At 38.9% G+C, this 16,195-nt stretch overlaps 1 long non-coding RNA gene and 1 pseudogene across 5 annotated transcripts in view; both read right to left on the reverse strand.

Moving 5' to 3' along the window:
* Positions 1-16,195, reverse strand: part of LOC105370198 (uncharacterized) — a 114,265-nt gene that overhangs the window by 18,429 nt on the left and 79,641 nt on the right. For all 5 annotated transcript variants that reach the window (XR_007063792.1, XR_007063791.1, XR_007063789.1 and 2 more), the window contains one exon: positions 3,149-3,301. This is a non-coding gene — a long non-coding RNA (uncharacterized LOC105370198). The remainder of the gene's footprint in view (positions 1-3,148; positions 3,302-16,195) is intronic.
* POLR2KP2 (RNA polymerase II subunit K pseudogene 2) lies at positions 7,483-8,080 on the reverse strand (annotated as a pseudogene).

The following is a 16,195-nucleotide window of genomic DNA, read 5'->3' on the forward strand; positions in this document are numbered from 1 at the left end:
GCCTCAGCCTCCCAAGCAGCTGGGATTACAGGCTCCCTCCACCATGCCCGGCTAATTTTTATATTTTTAGTAGAGACGGGGCTTCGCCATGTTGGCCAGGCTGGTCTCGAACTCCTGACCTCATGATCCACCCGCCTCGACCTCCCAATGTGCTGGGATTACAGGCGTGAGCCACCGCACCCAGCCACATATTTTATATTGTGTGCATTTCACAGAACAGACACATTTGAAAAAATGAAATGGGCCTGAAATAAGCATAACAATAACAACATCATTAATAATGTCATGCACAAAACTAATTAGGGCTATAGAGTTTGTGTAGTAATGGGGATTTTTTTTCCATAATAAAATGATAAAGCTAAGGATTTTAATATGTGTAATGTATAACACAGTAATTCTGAACAAAAAAGCATAATAGGAATATTGGAAATTCTAATGCTTGTTTCTCTGTATGTAATGCAGGAATAAAACTGAGTTAGTTTATACAGACTTCTGTGACCAAGAATGCTCCTGTGTACCCTGGTACAAGTGTAAGTAGGTAACTTGGCTGGGAGTTGAAATTTAGGGGATGTGGTGCAGAGATATAATTTTACCACCAGGGGGTGTTCTTTCCTCTTCCGGAATGTTGATGAGTTTATGTAATCACAAACTAACCCTAAACCAGCCCCACTAAAAATGGGCCAGGCCAGATCCCAGGAAATGGGATTAACTTACATCATTCACACAAATTCCCTCTTGCCCTTCCATTTTAGAGACTGTTGAGTTTTCCTTCAGTTGAGAGAATCATGCTGGCAGCAAGCCAATCTACATGAACTGTCGAAAACAGATTACACCCCTCCTGCTGATCAAAACAGGAGAATGATGACTTAAGAAGTTAGTGCAGGTAGCTATTTCTGATTATCCCCGGGGAGCAGGAGTTTCAAGTAAGCAAGAACTCAGCAGTTAGAAAGCAAACATCGAAAGGGTCTGAGGGGTAGAAAAGTCTCCTGCTTGAATTTTGATCTAAGCTGATTTACAACTGAAAAAGGTTGATGCCTCATTAAAGACCAGAAAAGCCTAGGAAAATTACCAGAGAGATTTTGACAGCTTCCAGAGTCAGCCAGGGAATCTGTCCCAGCCCATTAGTATAACCAAGTTTAGAAAGCAAGGCCTTGGAGAGGTGCCCCAGGGAGATGCCCAAGGGAGTCCGTCTGAACCCAGCCAAATGCTTACTCTTGAAAAAGGAAGACTTTGTCCCCTCTGTCAGCTTAGTGCCAGAAGCTCTGTCAGGGAGAAAGGCTGTGAAGCTAAGAAATATGGGATATTAGGTCACCTGCTCAACTGAAGCAAGTTCAACAAATTCAAACTTTGAGTCAATACATTATTTCCCCTTTTAATGCCCAAAAGTAATACTTGCTCATTGCTAAAACCAACAATACAGAGGCTAAAGTAAAAATCAAAGGACTGTCCTCTCATGACCAGCCCACTCTCCTCAGCCCCACTTACCAGAAATACTCACAGTTGAGAATTTGCTTATATTTTTCGGGGTTTCCTTTTTCCCATGCATTATTTCTGCAAAATGGATCAGTCTATCTGTCTGGCTCTCCATCTATTCATTCTATGCATCTATTAATCACCCATTTGGTTTGGTTTGGTTTTTGCCAAAAAGATATATATATAAAAAATATATATCATATTATATATAATATATATCATATAATATATTATATATGATATATATTCTTTTGTGTAAGTTTTTTATTTAATTGAAATGAAACTTCATTTCAATTTAATGAAGCCGACTTTTCCAAATCAGATCCATTCTTTCTTATAGTGACACAATATTCCATTGTATGGATGGTCCATAACTTTACTAAGCCAGTGCCCTACTGACGAACATTTGTGCTAGTCCCAGTTTCTTTTTCTATTACAAGAATGCTATAATAAAATTCTTAATTAAAAGATGTGGTTATTAATGGATGTGTTGTGTTAAGGATCAGACATTGTGCTAAGCCCTCTACGGGATATTAGGATGAATAAAATATGTTTCCTGCCATCTTGGAGTTTACTCTTTTGTATGGGAGAACTATTAAAAAAAATTGACATTGCAAGGTGCAGTGGCTAACGCCTGTAATCCCAGCACTTTGGGAGGCCAAGGCAGGCAGATCACTTGATCAGGAGTTTGACACCAGCCTGGCCAACATGGCAAAACCCTGTCTCTACTAAAAATACAAAAATTAGCTGGGCGTTGTGACACATGCCTGTAATCCCAGCTACTTGGGAGGCTGAGGCAGGAGAATCACTTGAACCCAGGAGACAGAGGTTGCAGTGAGCCGAGATTGAGCCACTGCACTCCAGCCTAGGCGACAGAGCAAGACCAGTCTCAAAAAAAAAAAAAAAAAAAAAAAAAAAAAAAAAAAAAAAAAAAAAATATATATATATATATATATATATATATATATATATATATAAAATGTAAGAAAAATGATTTACATACTAAATAGTTGGATTAATTATAACATATCTGCCCAGGGAGTAGAAAGTTAGGTGCTACCAATTCTGACAGTTGGAATTAGGGAAGATTTCACTGAATTGACTTCATCTCTGTAGGGATTTGCTTTAGTCTGTTTGATGTGGGGCAGTTGAGGTGGAAGCTTGTACTCTTAACAAAGTCATCCTGTTCACCATGCACTGAGGCAAGGAGCTCTACAGTTTTTGCTATTTGAATTTCCTCTAAAAATAATTTCATAAAGATCTGGGAATGATTTGTCCTTCTTTTTTCTTTTTTTTGAGATGGAGGTCTCACTATGTTGCCCAGGCTAGTCTCAAACTCCTGGGCTCAAGCGATCCCTGCCTCAGCCTCCTGTGAGATGACAGGCACATGCCACTGTGCTCGGCTCTTGCTTTGTCTTCTTCTAAACTTGTTTCACTGAGTTTAGTCTACAGCTTTGTCTGATAATCTTAAAACTCATTACAAATATTCAACATGGCACCGCTCCTTGCTCTGTCCCAAAATGTTCTGGGTAAATGTCTGATCTCCAAATCAAGTATGCCATAAATTGTTGAATTAGTATTGTTATATCTGGTGTGACTGTCTAGAGAAAGCCATTTTATCAGTACATGGAATCTAACAGTATGATTTTGAAAGAAAACATATGAAACAACTCACCTGTGATAGCAAATCTCTTTGAGTCAGAACCTTCCCAGCAATCATGTAAACATACTGGAAGATGAGTTTTTATTTTTAAGCAATCTTAATTAGCAGGTCTCTTTCTTATTAACATCTTCAAAGGGCTTTCAGCTCCTCCCTAGATGAAAGGTCCTGTGTAAGGACAAATTATTAGTATGCTCACAAAATACACACACTAAATGCAGGAAAAGTGCAAACGGTTTAACTCCACAGCCTGCAATGCTCTTGAGATGCTTTGATCTGCCAGGATAGCCATCAATTATTCTATATCCTTTACTCTTTAAATGCATGCATCAAAGCATGTTCATGCCCACCCTTGTAAATCCAGTTGTTTATTTCAAAATAGTTCTTCTGAATTAACCCTTGTTTCCTTTTTCCTTTGTTGAGAGCTGCTGATTCAGCTTATTGGGGAAAGCGTATATGTAACCTTGGGTTTAGAGTAGAAAATAATCTTTTTTTGCTCTATAAAGATGTCCATGGGCCAGGCGCAGTGGCTCATGCCTGTAATACCAGCACTTTGGGAGGCTGAGGAGGGCAGGTCACCTGAGATCAGGAGTTGGAGACCAGCCTGGTCAACATGGTGAAACCCCATCTCTACCAAAAAATACAAAAATTAGCCGGGCGTGATAGCAGGCGTCTGTAGTCCCAGCTACTCGGGAGGCTGAGGCAGAGGAATCGCTTGAGCCCAGGAGACAGAGGTTGCAGTGAGCTGAGATTGTATGACTGCACTCCAGCCTGGGCGACAGAGCGAGGCTCCATATCAAATAAAAAAAAAGATGTTCATGACATAAAAATGTACATTAATAAAGATTCATTGGTAAACTGGGAAAATATATATAATAAGTGAAAAAAGCGTGATACAAAAATTTATAGAGTATTATCACAACTGTAATACTAATAATTGCTAACATTAATTAAATACAACAGTGCCAATCACTGACCTGAATGCTTTACCTGTGTGATATACTTTAATCTTCACAATGAGACGAATATTGTCATCTCTCTTTTACATATAAAGAAACTGAAGCTCAGAAAGTTTAAGTAACTAGACCATGATCACACAGCCAATCAGTGGTGGAGCTCATGGGGTTCTATCTGGTACTGACTGACAACAAAGCTTTGTGATGGTCCTGCTGCCTTTTAACAGTGAATATACCTAAGCAGAGAGATTTAGGGTGATTTTTCCCCTACTTTTTTACACTTACACTTTTTTTAAGAATAAGCAAAACTAACATACTAACTAATGAAGTAATCAAATAAAATTAATAAAGAGGGCTGAGTAGCTCTTTTATTCATGGCATGATAACTTGAGATAAATATAGGTAACATGTCATTAAGCTCAAAGTTGTCTGGGCCTCTGCTGCCTTATCTTTAAAATGAAAGGGTTGCACCAAGCAATCTCAAAGACACCTTTCAATTTTCATATTACTTTAGTTCATTGTTTCTGATTATGCTTCAGAGATGGCACTTTTCCTCAGCAATAAGTTGGTTGTAGTTCCCTAAATTTGCTCAAAGAGCGTACCAAAGGAAGAACCAGAGGACCGATTGGGATTCATCTTTAACACCACAGAAGAATAAAGACTAGCTTTGTTAATGATGAATCTTGAATAAGTATTAATGTAAAATTGTTACATACTTATTAAATTGTAATTGTACATAAATAATAAGCATATAAGTTTTTATTGTATATATTTAAGGTTTACATAATGTCTTGATATACATATAGAGAGTGAAAAGGTTAGTATAGTTAGCAAATTAACCTATCCATCATCTCAGTTATACTTTTTTTGTGTGTGTGGCAAGAGTACCTAAAATCTACTTTTTTAGCAAAAATTATTAAATATAGTTCTCATGTTGTACATTCCATCTTTAGATTTGTTCATCCTTCATATCTGCTATTTTGTATCCTTTGTCCTGCAGCTCCCCATTAAGCATATTTTTCTGATCTAATTCCAGAGTGAAAGATAAGTTGTGTTGGATATCAGTGCTAGGTCTTTTTCTGACCAGGGTTTAGTTTGGACATGTCTGGAATGCAAGAATGAGAAACCCTTTGAAACTGCATGGAGAGTAGGTGTTTCCAGCTGAGAGGAGCATTTGATCTTTACTTGGAAAAAAAAGTACCTGCACTACAAAGAAAGGTTGCTTGTCTCCACAGAAGGATGAGTTCCTCCACAGGAAGCATGTGGCACCAACCGTGAAAAAAGAACAGAACTATCTGTCGTGCTATAAATATTAAGATGTCTGGGAAACATGAAGAATTTTTATTTCTGGCTACATTTATTTATCATTTCTATTTTTGATAATAGACTAGTCTTTATTTGGAACTCTTTCATTCCCAGTGTTGTATTTTTCAGCACATAACAGGTATCCAATAAATACTAGCTCAATGAAGAAAATATATTAACATTTAAGCTTTAATTAGAAGTACAGCTTTTTTAAGGTAAGTTTTAGGAACAGTTCTCTTCCTTTGATTAGTATCCAGAATTTCATCTTCTGAAGACCCTAGCATCTTCACATCAACTTTTAAAAACTTTCCATACCACATAGACCAAAGATTCAAATAATTTTTATACTAGATATGGAAGAATTTATTTATCATCTTAAAGTGGGGAAGGGCTTTCTACTATTTCTAAAAATCAAGAGCTTACAAATTAAAATGATAAAGTTAGTAAAGTTAATAGAATAATTAAAATCTTTAGTAAAAGCAAAGAACAACAAAACATATGCACATAATAAGAACAATTAAAAGATTAACAACAAACAAAAAAGGTTTGCCACCCATATCAAGATAAAATAACAATCTACCAATATATGAAGAGTTCCTAGCAATCAATAAGAAAAGGACTGATAAACAATAGAAAAAGGGCAGAGAAAATGAATTCAGAGTTCACAGAAAAGGAAGCATGTAAGGCTCTTAAACCTAAAAGCAGATGCTCAACTAAAGTCATAATTAGAGAAACACAGGATATAATTGTACTAAGTTGTTGTGCCCCATGCATCAGATTGCCAAAAATCTACGAATTTCATACATACTCTGTAGTCAAGACCTCGGGAAGGGAAGACTGCATTATGAGTGGGAGGGTAAATTGGTACAACCTCTATGGAGGACAATTCAGCAATATCTATCAAAATCACAAATCCACGCAGCCAAAGGATGATTTATCCTGAAACTAACAAAGCATAAGCTTCAGGGACCCTCACTTGCACAACCCCTTTTCGAGGCTCTGGGAGGAGCCCTAATGATTTTTCAATATATTATATGTTTTTGGAATCTTTGCCAATTGAGGGATTTTAGTTACAATTGGTTAAGACCACTGCTCTCTTTCTACTTGGACATCTCCTCCATCATACTTTCCTTTGTGAAGTGTGGCAATGGAGTGGCATCAGGAACTTTTGGGATCTAGCTAAAGGGAAATTGACTTGGAGATTCATTAAGGTTTGGGTTTATTAGGATGAATTTATGTCTTGTGCAATCTCCACATGTATAGCCAGGTTATTGCTAGGTGTCCTGGTGTAGGAATGGTTTCCAGAAATACTCCTACCACCCACTGTGCTAACCACCTGCCACTCTAACTAGAAGATGTAGAACCAGAGGTCGTATTGAAACATAAACATGTCTTATAACGCTTGATACCAGAATTATGTAGGTAGTAGAAAAGAAACAAGGCTGGAAATACGTGGAGCCAGAAGCCAGTCTGTGGAAAATTATTTTAATACTAGCCATGTAAAATAACGAGCAGAATGTTTCATTATTACAGGTGCCGGGTCAAAATGGGTGTTTTAATCTATCAGGAATGTACCTGATGATGCAGCAATTAAAAAACACACCATAGATTCATAGTCTTTTTTTAAAAATGGGAATCACATGAAATAGAATTTCTCAGAATTTCCGGGTTGTAGGATACAAACCTATAGCAGCACTAGACATAGCAAGCATGTCTGTGTGAAACTGAATGCTTAATGCATCACAGCTGTCAATAATAAAAAAAAAGAATTTCAATCAACCATGCTAAAGAGAAGACTGAATTCACTTTCTGCTTTCTGTCTTTAAAATGATGTTACAAAACTGTGGTCACATAAGGACGTAATCCAAGTCTGTACAGCAAAAAAAGATAGAGAAAAAAGCTTTATAAATGTGTGTCAGAGTTAATTAGTAAAAATATTATGTTATTTTTCAAGGTTCTGTGATAGTTATGGTATTTGTTAGCTTTTTAAAATTAGTAATTTATTGTGATTTCATTTTATTGTTTACATTAGTTATTTGGTTTTGTACCTACTTTAGATTTGATAATTTGTATTCTTTTTGTTTGTTTGTTTCCAAGGAACTTACTTAATCAGAACTTCAGAGGGCCCTAGAAAGCTGCATTTTTAAAGAGGACCTCCCCTCTGGATGCCCTTCCCCACTTCCCCTCATTTTAATGAGGATTCTAGGTGAATTAAAAGTATGTTTTGGGAAGTAATTTTAACCCTCATTGTGTGTCAGGTTATATATACAGTAATATTAAGTTGTAAATCATGTAATAGAAGAAAAATTTTTTTATACAAAGTGTTAATAGAGGCCTAAATATAATATGGTTTTTAAAATAAAATAAAATGAATTCATGTGTATATTGTTATAATCATAAAGATAAGAATGTTAAATTGAAAGCTACACAATGAGAAACATTAATGGCAAATCCAAGTACAAACGAAAATGTTCTCTGAATTCCCAGGTTTCACTGGGCATCAAAACCCACCAATATTTCAGTCCTTTTCTTATATATTATTCTGTAACCACATTCTCCACATTTGACTGGATCCCTGGACTTCATGTCATTTTCTGTGTGACATTCTCTACAGTTATATGCCATTGGCTGCTGCTTTGGGGTTTGAATGTCCTTCTGGGTGTCCATTGTTAGTCCCTACACAGCATGATGAAATTTCTCACTCTTGTATTATTTTTCTTAATGAAGGCTCACAAAATTATAATTGTTCAGGTATACAACCTGGATCAGTATTTGTAATTACCCAAATGCCTCAGAAAAATTTCAACCGGGGGAATTTATCTTAGAGTTGTTCTTGTACAGTTATGAAATGGCATGTGTACAAGGTTAGTCACTGCAAAACTGTAACAGAAAAAGGCTGAACTCAGTGGGGATCTGGTTAAACAGATCATGGTACATCCTGCATAATGGAATACTGTACAGCTCTGAAAAATGAGGACACAGTCTATATTCTGATATGGAAAGGGCTACAAGATATATTGCCCAATGAAGAAAAACAAAGCTTAGAACAATGTGTACAGTATGCTACCTTTCATTTTAAAACTAAAGAAGGAAGAATAGAAACATTAACTTTTGTTTATTTTTACATAAATAAGTTCTGGAAATGAATACAAGTGATTGTAGGGAGGGGACATTGAGTGGAATGCACTGAGGTGGGAATGAGATTGTTCACTCTATAGCCCCATACAAGAGATGTATATTCACTATTCAGAAGTTAAATGAAAAAAAAAAAAAGTATGTATATACATATTTTTTTCCCCCTTTTGAAACAGAGTCTTGTTCTGTCACCCAGGCTGGAGTCCAATGGCAAGATCTTGGCTCACTGCAACCTCTGCCTCCCAGGTTCAAGCGATTCTCCTGCCTCAGCCTCCCGAGGCTGAGGCTAATTTTTGTATTTTTTGGTAGAGATGGTGTTCCACCATGTTGGCCAGGCTGGTCTCAAACTCCTGACTTTAGGTGATCCTCCTGCCTTGGCCTCCCAAAGTGCTGGAATTACAGGCGTCAGCCATCGTGCCTGGCTAAATTTTAATATATTGTTCTTCACTTTGGCCACACTCATGGAGGGGGGTATTTCCAGACACCTTTTTGGCATCTTTTTGAAATGCTGTTCAGTTGCTCATTAGCCATCAAATTAAAATTCATACCTATTCATTTCTGCAGTATTCATATAATCAGCTCTCTATCAAAAAAACTATGAAAATTATCTGAGTGAATTTAAGAGTTTAAGAAAAACTGGATAATACCAATGAAAATATTTAATTATGTGAGAAATTTAAAACATCCCCACTTCAAAAGAAATAAAGGCAAACAAACACTGGGATTTATTATCTTGAATACCCCCATTTACAGAAAATAAAAGGAAAACATTAAAACTGTCTAATTGATAATGAGCTACAGACATGAATAAGAAATTCTAAAAACATAAAATTATTAAGCTTAGACATCATCATTAGCTTCCATCATCTGCTCCATACAAATTCAACACACTGCAAAGTGTTGTCAATTTTGCCTTCTAAATATCTTTCCATTGTTCTCACCCTAGTCTAAGCCACCATTTTCTCCCTTTAAGACTAGCACAAAATGGGCAAAGAACGTGAATAAACATTTTTGAAAGAAGACACACAGACTCTCATGCCTGTAATCCCAACACTTTGGGAGGCTGAGGCAGGAATATAGCTTAAGTGCAGGAGTTCGAGGCTGCAGTGAAGTAGGATTGCCACTGCACTCCAGCCTGGGCAACAGAGCAAGACTCTGTTTCAAAAAGAAAGAAAGAGAGAAGACATATAAATAGCCAACAGGTATATGAAAAAATGCCCAATGTGACTGATCATCAGGGAAATGCAAATTGAAACAACAATGAGATATCATCTCACACCCATTAGGATGGCGATTACCAAAAAGACAAAGCTACAACAAGCATTGACAAGGGTGTGGAGAACAGTGAATCCTTATGAACTGATGGTGGAAATGTAAATTAATATAGACATTATGGAAAATTGTATGGAGGTTTTTCAAGAAATTAAAAAATAAAAGTAGCATGTGATCCTCAATCCTACTTCTGGGGTATATATCCAAGGGAAATGAAATCAGCATGTGGAAGAGATATCTGCATTTCCTTGTTTATTGCAGCACTATTCACAGTAGCAAAGATATGGAAACAATACAAGTGTCCATCATCAGATGAATGGATCAAGAAAAACACACACACACACACACACACACACAATGGATACCATTCAGCCATAAAAAGAATGAAATCCTGCCATTTGTGACAACATACATAAACCTGGAAGACATCATATTAAGTGAAATAAGCCAGGCACAGAAAACAAATACCACATGATCTCATTTATATGTGGAATCTAAAAAAGTCAAACTCATAGCAGCAGAGAGTAGAATGGTGGTTACCAGGGGCTGAGAGAGGGAGGCATTGAGGAGTTATCAGCCAAACTATACAGAATTTCAGTTACACAGGAGGAGTAAGTTCAAGTGATTTATTGTTCAACATGGTGAATATAGTTAAAAACAATATTGTATTCTTGAAAAATTGCTAAGGGAATGGATTTTCAATGTTCTTGCCACAAAAAAAAAACTGATAAGCGAGGCAATGCACAATGCCATTTAGCCTGATTTAGCCATTTCACAAAGTATACATATTTCAAAACATGTTTCACACCATAAATATATACTATTGTGACATAAATATATATATTTATGTGAATTAAATTTGTGTCAATTAAAAAATTTGTGTCAATTAAAAAAAAAAAGACAGGCCAGGCATGGTGGCTCACACCTGTAATCCCAGCACTTTGGGAGGCCGAGGCAGGCAGATCGCAAGGTCAGGCGTTCAAGATCAGCCTGGCCAACATGGTGAAACCCCGTCTCTACTAAAAATACAAAAATTAGCCGGGCATGGTGGTGCATGCCTGTAATCCCAGCTACTCAGGAGGCTGAGGCAGGAGAATCACTTGAACCTGAGAGGCGGAGGTTGCAGTGAGCCAAGATGGTGCCATTGCACTCCAGCCTGGGTAATAGAGTGAGACTCCAACTCAAAAAAAAAAAAAAAAAAAAAAGACTAGCACAACACCCTTTAAATGGCCTTCCTGGACTCCCTCTACATCTCCCTCATTGCATTTTCTACACAGTGGGATCATTTTAAAAGACGAATCTAATTATATCTCAAATGCACACACCTTTAAGACCCTTCACTGACCTCCCAGTGCTTATAAGGCAAAGATTAAACCTCTTTACGGCTTCTTCTCCTTTCAGGGCTTTTAAACACTGGTGTACCCTCCCCGACTGCCCTATCCTTTGTCTTCACTCATCACTCCACCTCCTGTGACCTAACCAACTCCTCCTCACACCTCAGATCTCACCTAAAAGCCCACTTTGTCAGGGAGGCTTTCCAAAGCAGTCCAGAACCCCCGTTGCACATTAGTGAAGCACCCGTACAGCTCCTTCATGGCGCTTTGCACAGGGATCATTCCAATTCACTGCGGGAGAAGTGGGGAGGGATGGCCTCCTACACTCCACCAGGGCAGTGGCTGCTGTTCACTGCACCTAGCACTGCATGTGATACCTGGAAGACCCTTATTAAAACATTTGTTGGGCAAGTGAATAAACATTACTGATAATAAAATAAATGGACCTTAGAACAAACAGACACTAATTTGGCCTGTAAAACAGGCAAAAAAAAAAAATTAAAAAGAAGGCCACTGTTCATTTGTCACGAGCAGGTGTAAAGCACCCTTCTACATTTTCATATCTTTTAATTGAGGTGAATTTTGCATAATATAAAATTAACCATTGGAAAGCAGACAATTAAGTGACATTTAGTACATTCACAATGATGAGCAACCATCACCCACCAGCTCTACCTAGTTCCAAATATTTCCATCACCCCGAAAGGAAACCTAGTACTCATTAAGCTGCTGCTCTCTGATATGGTTTGGATCTATGTCCCCGCCCAAATCTCATATTCAATCATAATCTCCAGTGCTGAAAGTGGGGCCTGGTGGGAGGTGATTGAATCATGGTGGTTGTTTCTCAGGAATGGTTTAACACCATCCACTTGGTGCTGTTCTCGTCATAGTGAGTGAGTTCTTGCAGGCTCTGGTTGTTAAAAGTGTGTAGCACCTCCCCACACTCTCTCTTGCTCTTACTCCTGCCATGTAAGACGCCTGCTCCCCCTTTGCCTTCCACCATGAATAACAGCTCCCTGAGGCCTCCCCAGAAACAGATGCTGCCATGCTTCCTGTACAGCTTACAGAACCCTGAGCCAATTAAACTCTTTTCTTTATAAATTACCTTGTCTCAGGAATTTCTTTTATTTATTTATTTATTTATTGAAACAATGTCTTGCCCTGTCGCCCAGGCTGGAGTGCAGCGGTGCAATCATGGCTCACAGCAACCTCTGCCACTGGGCTCAGGCGATTCTCCCACCTCAGTCTCCAGAGTAGCTGGGACTACAGGTGCACATCACCATGCCCAGCTAATTTTTGTAGTTTTTTTTGTAGAGATGGGGTTTTGCCATGTTGCCCACGCTGGTCTCAAACTCCTGTATTCAAGCGATCTGCCTGCCTCAGCCTCCCAAAGTGCTGGGATTACAGGCTTGAGCCACCAAGCCTGGCCTAGGAATTTCTTCGTAGCAATGTGAGAATGAATTAACACACTCCCCAACCTCCCCTATCCCCAGCCTCTGGCAACCACCAATCTGCTTTCTGTCTCTGGATTTACCTATTCTTAGCCTTTTATATAAGTGGAATCATACAATATGCAGTCTTTTGCGTCTGGCTTCTTTCACTTAGCATAATGTGTTCAAGGGGGTTCATCTAAATTGCAGCATGGATCAGAACTTCATTCCTTATTATAAGGGAATAATATTCTACTGTATGTATATACCACAATTTTTATATCCATTAATCTGTTGATGAACATTTGGGTTGTTCTGCCTTTTGGCTATTGTGAACAGTGCTGCTATGATCTCTTACCTTTCTGATGGGCGTGTAAACTGGTATTGGGCAAACTGATTACCATGCTTGCTAGGCTCTCATCCAGGCATCTGGCAGGGTTGCTCCATAATGGCACATTGGTTGGGACTGGTCCTCCAGTGCCTGTGCCATCAGTGGTTAAATATTTTGAATAATTATGAACAGATTACCATAAATTCAACAAAGTGGGGGACATGTTCTGCTCCCCTTAACCCCACAAAGGACTAAGACAGAGGTAGGTACTTTACCAAGGACAGCCAAATATAATGTGTGCGAGTGACCAATGAGGTAGCCAGAGGGAAAATTCCGCCTAAATAGGCATGATGACTGTTAGCTAAGCCAGTCCGATTTCTTATGTGGGGAAAATGAACTAAAAATATGGATGGGAATTGAAGAGTTGGTAATGGGAGCAGAAGATGAAAAAGGCCAGCTGTGAATGGCTGATTTCTGGAGCAGAGCTTCTTGAGCTGTGACTGCTGATGGGGGACAAGGTAGCTGGTCCCCAGAGCTCCCCTGCATCCTGAACGACCTGCAGTTGCACCCTGTGTGGCTCAGTGAGTTCTTATTTGTTCTTTGCAGTTACTATGAGGCCTGGTTTCATGGCTTAGATTCCTGCCCTAAATATTTCTACAATTGTCATTCCTACAAACCTCCCAATGACTGAGGTAATCTGAGTGATTCTTTGCATCCAAAGGAGCTTAAGGAAAACACCTCTGAAAAGAAGTTAGGTTATAGATATCAAGAGCTTTATAATCATTCAGTCTTTGATCCAATAATTCCTCTCTGGAGCTCCAGTCTAAGACAATGATCCCAGAGTCAGAAAAACCACATACACAAGGAAGTTAATCTCAATTTTAGTTTAGTGCAAGAAATTGGAAACGTGTCCAAATGTTGGCAAATGATTAAAAAAAGGAAAAAAATAAATTGCCTAAATTAGATTAAAAACTTATTTATTAAGAATTATGTGTATGAATAGTTTTATATTCATACTGAAATATTGTTCTATAATGCTTTTATTTTTAAAAGGCAGGAAATATATATTTATATGGAAAATATTAACAGAAAGACACATAATAAAAGATGAATAATGATTATCTTTGGGTGATTTTTTTGCCCTGTTATTTAAAATATTTTTATGAAACATGCATGTGTTGTTTTTATAATAAGAAAATGCTTTTTTAGGATGGGGGTGGTGGCTCAAGCCTGTAATCCTAGCACTTTGGGAGGCTGAGGCAGGTGGATCATGGGAGATCAGGAGTTCGAGACCAGCCTGAGCAACGTGGAGAAACCATGTCTCTACTGAAAATACAAAATTAGCTGGGCAAGGTGGCACATGCCTGTAATGCCAGTTACTCGGGAGGCTGAGGCAGGAGAATCGCTTCAACCCAGGAGGCGGAGGTTGCAGTGAGCCGAGATCACACCATTGCACTCTAGCCTGGGAGACAAGAGTGAAACTCTGTCACACACACACACACACACACGCACGCACACACACACACACACACAAAAGCTTTTTTAAAAAGCAGGGTGTAGTATGGCTTTTAGGCAGAAACAAATCATCCTAAGCTGATATTTACTTCTTAGAAAAGAGGGAGGAACAAAAGCTTCAGTACTAGTAGAAAACTAAAAGAAAAAGATCACAGAGACATGGAGAATTCAACCTCCACCGAATTCCTGAAGGAGCCAGATGGTATTCCCGTTTTCCAGAAGGCACAGGATACTGCCTTTTGAGGGAAGGTCAAAGAAGGGTTTGCTGTAGCTGGGAACACTATGCCAAATCTAAGTCCACAGTGGCCACCCAGACACAGAGCTTATTAGGAAAAGCTCATGCCATTCCAGATGACAGTTCCAAATGGACAGACTTGTAATTTTTCCATGTGGATCAGAAACATATACCCACCATACAGCATTGCAGTGAAACTCCAAGAATGGTAGCAGGAAGGAGGTAGAGCAGTTAATTAATTAAACACTTATTTATTGAATGTTTACTATGTTTGGGCACTATTGTGAGCCATAGGGATAAAAATTCCTGCCCTCATGGTGCACACATGCTACAGTGTGGGATTGCAAGATAAGGAGAGGGGGAAACAATACATAAAAAGTAGCAGCAAATGCAGCAATGTTAGACACATATGGAGAAAAATAAAACAGTGGAAGGGGTTTGGGAGAGTCTGTTGTCCGGTTCTTAGAGTTTAAAGAGGTGATGAGGTAAAGTGGTGCAAGGATATTTGAGTGAAGATGTGAAGAAGGTGAGAAATTGAGTTCAAGAAAAACATTCTAGACAAAGGGAGCAGTCTGGGCGCAGTGGCTCACACCTGTAATCCCAGTACTTTGGGAGGCCGAGATGGGAGGATCACCCAAGGTCAGGAGTTCGAGACCAGCCTGACTAACATGGAGAAACCCCGTCTCTACTAAAAATACAAAATTAGCAGGGGCCTGTAATCCCAGCTACTCAGAAGGCTGAGGCAGGAGAATCACTTGAACCTGGGAGGCAGAGGTTGCAGTGAGCTGAGATCACGCCATTGCACGGCAGCCTGGGCAACAAGAGCGAAATTCCATCTCTAAAAAAAAAAAAAAAAAAAAAAAAGACAAAGGGAGTAGCAAATACAAAGACCCTGGGGCAGGATTGTATCTGGCCTGTTCAAGGAATGCAAGGTGGTCAGTGTGGTTGGGAACAGAGTGAGCAATGTGGGGGTGGGGAGTGGTGGGAAGAGAAGGAGTGGAGGAGGGTCAGGTCATATATAGCCTTGAAGGCCATTGTAAGGAGAAAGAAGGAGACCAATGCACCCACAGATGATGACTGATAAAGATGCATGTGGCAAAGATCAGTCCAAGACCCCTAGCCCAGGTCACTAGGAGTAGGTCATGTCATTTGCTGAGACAGCAAACAAAGAGGAAGGTCAGATTTGTGCCAGGGAGGGCATGGGAAGAAAAGAAAGGAAGAAATCATAAATTTGTTTGGGAAGTTTTTTTCGGTGTTTTGGTTTTTTTTTTTTGGAGGGCCAGTGGGGCCCAGAAGTTAGAACTGGTACCTCAGGAAACTGGTCGGGATAGAGATGCAGTTGATGAATTAACAGCAGAGTGCTCAAATTATGAAAGTGAATGAGTAAATGACAGTAGGACATGCTGATAAACAGTTGTTGAATCAACCTTGTGAAACTGCTCAGGAATGTATTTTATTAGGTTCTTTTGCCAGAAGAGGAACAGAGATAAGTGACCTCAGATACTGAGGTTATTGTAAAGCTGCACAGGAAGCTAGAATACATTGTCAC

Source organism: Homo sapiens, chromosome 13 (genome assembly GCF_000001405.40).
Source record: "Homo sapiens chromosome 13, GRCh38.p14 Primary Assembly".
Taxonomy (NCBI): Eukaryota; Metazoa; Chordata; class Mammalia; order Primates; family Hominidae; genus Homo; species Homo sapiens.